The sequence below is a fragment of the Homo sapiens genome, chromosome 15 (assembly GCF_000001405.40).
Source record: "Homo sapiens chromosome 15, GRCh38.p14 Primary Assembly".
Lineage (NCBI taxonomy): Eukaryota > Metazoa > Chordata > Mammalia > Primates > Hominidae > Homo > Homo sapiens.
The window spans coordinates 67962141-67964714 of NC_000015.10; the positions used below are offsets into that span (position 1 = coordinate 67962141).

Consider the following 2574-nt stretch of genomic DNA (forward strand, 5'->3'; position numbering starts at 1 on the left):
CCTTATCTTTCGGTTGGAGAATCTTCCCTCCTCCCTGATTCCACTCCCCAGTGCAGGCTACCGTCCCAGCTTTGTTAGGGGATAGGCAAATTGCTCAAGATCATTCAGTCTCGCCTACCAAGTCAGGACTGCTTTCCTAGAGCAGTTAGCCCGCCTCAGCTCAGCTCAGGTGGCCTTTGGAAAATCCCTGGCTGTTACCAGATCACGGCCTTCAATTTTTTTTTTTTTAACTGCAACCCTTAGTAAGAAATACATGTTATATCATAACCCAGTTCATAGGTGTGCATGGCCACACATACACACAAACGGACACAGAAGTTTCAACAAACAGTACTTACTTAATACTTAGCCCAATTATCTGATTCTTTTCCATTCTATTCTTTAATTTTTCATTTAAAAAAAATGTTTGTAGGCCGGGTGAGGTGGCTCACGCCTGTAATCCCAGCACTTTGAGAGGCCAAGGTAGGTGGATCGCTTGAGCCCGGGAGTTTGAGATCAGCCTGGGCAACATGGTGAAACCCTGTTTCTACAAAAAAATACAAAAATTAGCCAGGTATGGCGGTGCGTGCTTGTAGTCCCAGCTCCCAGCTACTCAAGAAGCTGAGGTGGAAGGATTGCTTGAGCCCAGGAGGTTAAGGTTTTAGTGAGCCCTGATCACATCAGTGCACTCCAGCCTGGGCAACAGAGTGAGACTTTGTCTCAAACAAACAAACAAACAAACAAACAAAACGAACCAAACAAAAGTAACAACTTGCAATTCATTCAGTTAATTTCAATACCTATGGGTTAAGATGAGCGGATTGAAATACACATTCAAGCCTAATCTCTGAATTATGCAGAGATTTTGAGAATATTCCTTCATTAGCCACAGCCATGTGTGCCACACAGGAGAAACCAGGTTGACGGGCAAGTCGTGGTCCAAGGTCATCCATGGACCCTCATTGGTGAGAGATACTCCCTCACCAGAGAGTTGAGTGTATTGAGTCATATGATGAATGGGGCCACTGTAGTTTTAGAATAAAAATATGATTTATTTTCTTTCTTTCTTTCTTTTCTTTCTTTCTTTCTTTCTTTCTTTCTTTCTTTCTTTCTTTCTTTTTCTTTCTTTCTTCTTTCTTTCTTTCTTTCTTTTCTTTCTTTCTTTCTCTTTCTTTCTTCTTTCTTTCTTTCTTCCTTTTCTTTCTTTCTTCCTTTTCTTTCTTTCTTTCTTTCTTTCTTCTTTCTCTCTCTTTCTTTTTTTTCTTTTTATTTTTTTTGAGACAAAGTCTGGTTCTGTCACCTAGGCTGGAGTACAGTGGCACAATCACAGCTTAACTGCAGCCTCAACCCCTGGACTGAAGCGATCCTCCCATTTCAGCTTCCCGAATAGGTAGGACTGCAGACATGCACCAACACACCTGAATAATTTTTGTAATTTTTGTAGAGACGGGGGTCTCATCATTTGCCCAGGCTGGTCTGGAACTCTAAGGCTCAAGCGATCCACCCACCTCAGCCTCCCAAAGTTCTGGGATTACAGGCTTGAGCCACCCTGCCCAGCCAAGATTAGCTACTGAGAGCTTTCTATGTGCCAAGCATTGTTCTAAGCACTTTACACGAATTAACGTATTTAATCCTCACAATACCACCATGCCATATGTAGTATTATTAATCCCTGATGTATGGACAGTTCGGGAATTTAACATCCAGAAAATAGTTACTAAATATGGATCCAGGTATCAAAGCCAGGCAGACTGGCTCCAGAGCCCCCAGCTCTTCTGCATCACATGTACCTCCCCACTACAGCAGGCCTTCTCGGACCTTCCACGACTGGCTCACTTTGCCATCTTTTCCAAGGATAGTGTCCAGTGCTGAGCTCAGCAAGCTGTGGCCAGAATTCCACAGAGGACTTGGACTAGAGCTGGAGCTCCAGTGTGGTCACCAATCCAGGTGATCATTTCATTAGATCAGTCCAGCAGAGCATTCGTTCAACACCCACTTACTAAGCCTTCAAACCCAGAAGTTCAGGGCTGGAAGACACTCCAGAAATTTCCAACTACTTAGGGACTTTCATACAGGGTAAAAGGGACACAGGGATCTCTCTACTCCAAGACTTCCACTTTTATCTGTTTCAGAGATAGAGTTTCTGCATAAGCTTATACTTGAAAAAAAATAGTCTTGCTGTTAAAACAAGTTTATTTTGGGGGAGGTGAGAGAAAATTTTAAGGAATTAGCAGTCTTTTGGGAAATAATTGATGACACGTTTTTTAGAGTGGTAAAATACATATAATGTAAAATTTACCATGAATGACAGTGCAGTCACAGTATTGTACAATATTCACCACATTTTCATCTCCCCTACGGAAAATCCCATACCCGCTAGGCAGTGATTCCCCATTACCTTTTCTCCTCAGTTCCTGGAAACCACTAATTTACTTTCTGTGTCTGTAAAATTGCCTCTTCTGGACATTTCACATAAACAGAATCATATAAAATGTGGCCTTTTATGACTTGTTCTTTTACTTAGTATAATGTTTTTTATTTTCGAGACAGAGTCTCACTCTGTTACCCAGGAGGCTGCAGTATAGTGGCATGATC

The 2574-nt window shown here is 42.0% G+C and overlaps 1 annotated feature.

The window, feature by feature from the left end:
- Positions 837–1006: an enhancer, noted in NCBI's record as "experimental_40781 CRE fragment used in MPRA reporter constructs". NCBI's record gives its function as "activates a minimal promoter by MPRAs in K562 erythroleukemia cells, with activity observed for both the introgressed and non-introgressed 15:68255400 variant alleles {active_cell/tissue: K562}" and the evidence as "EXISTENCE:reporter gene assay evidence [ECO:0000049][PMID:34662402]".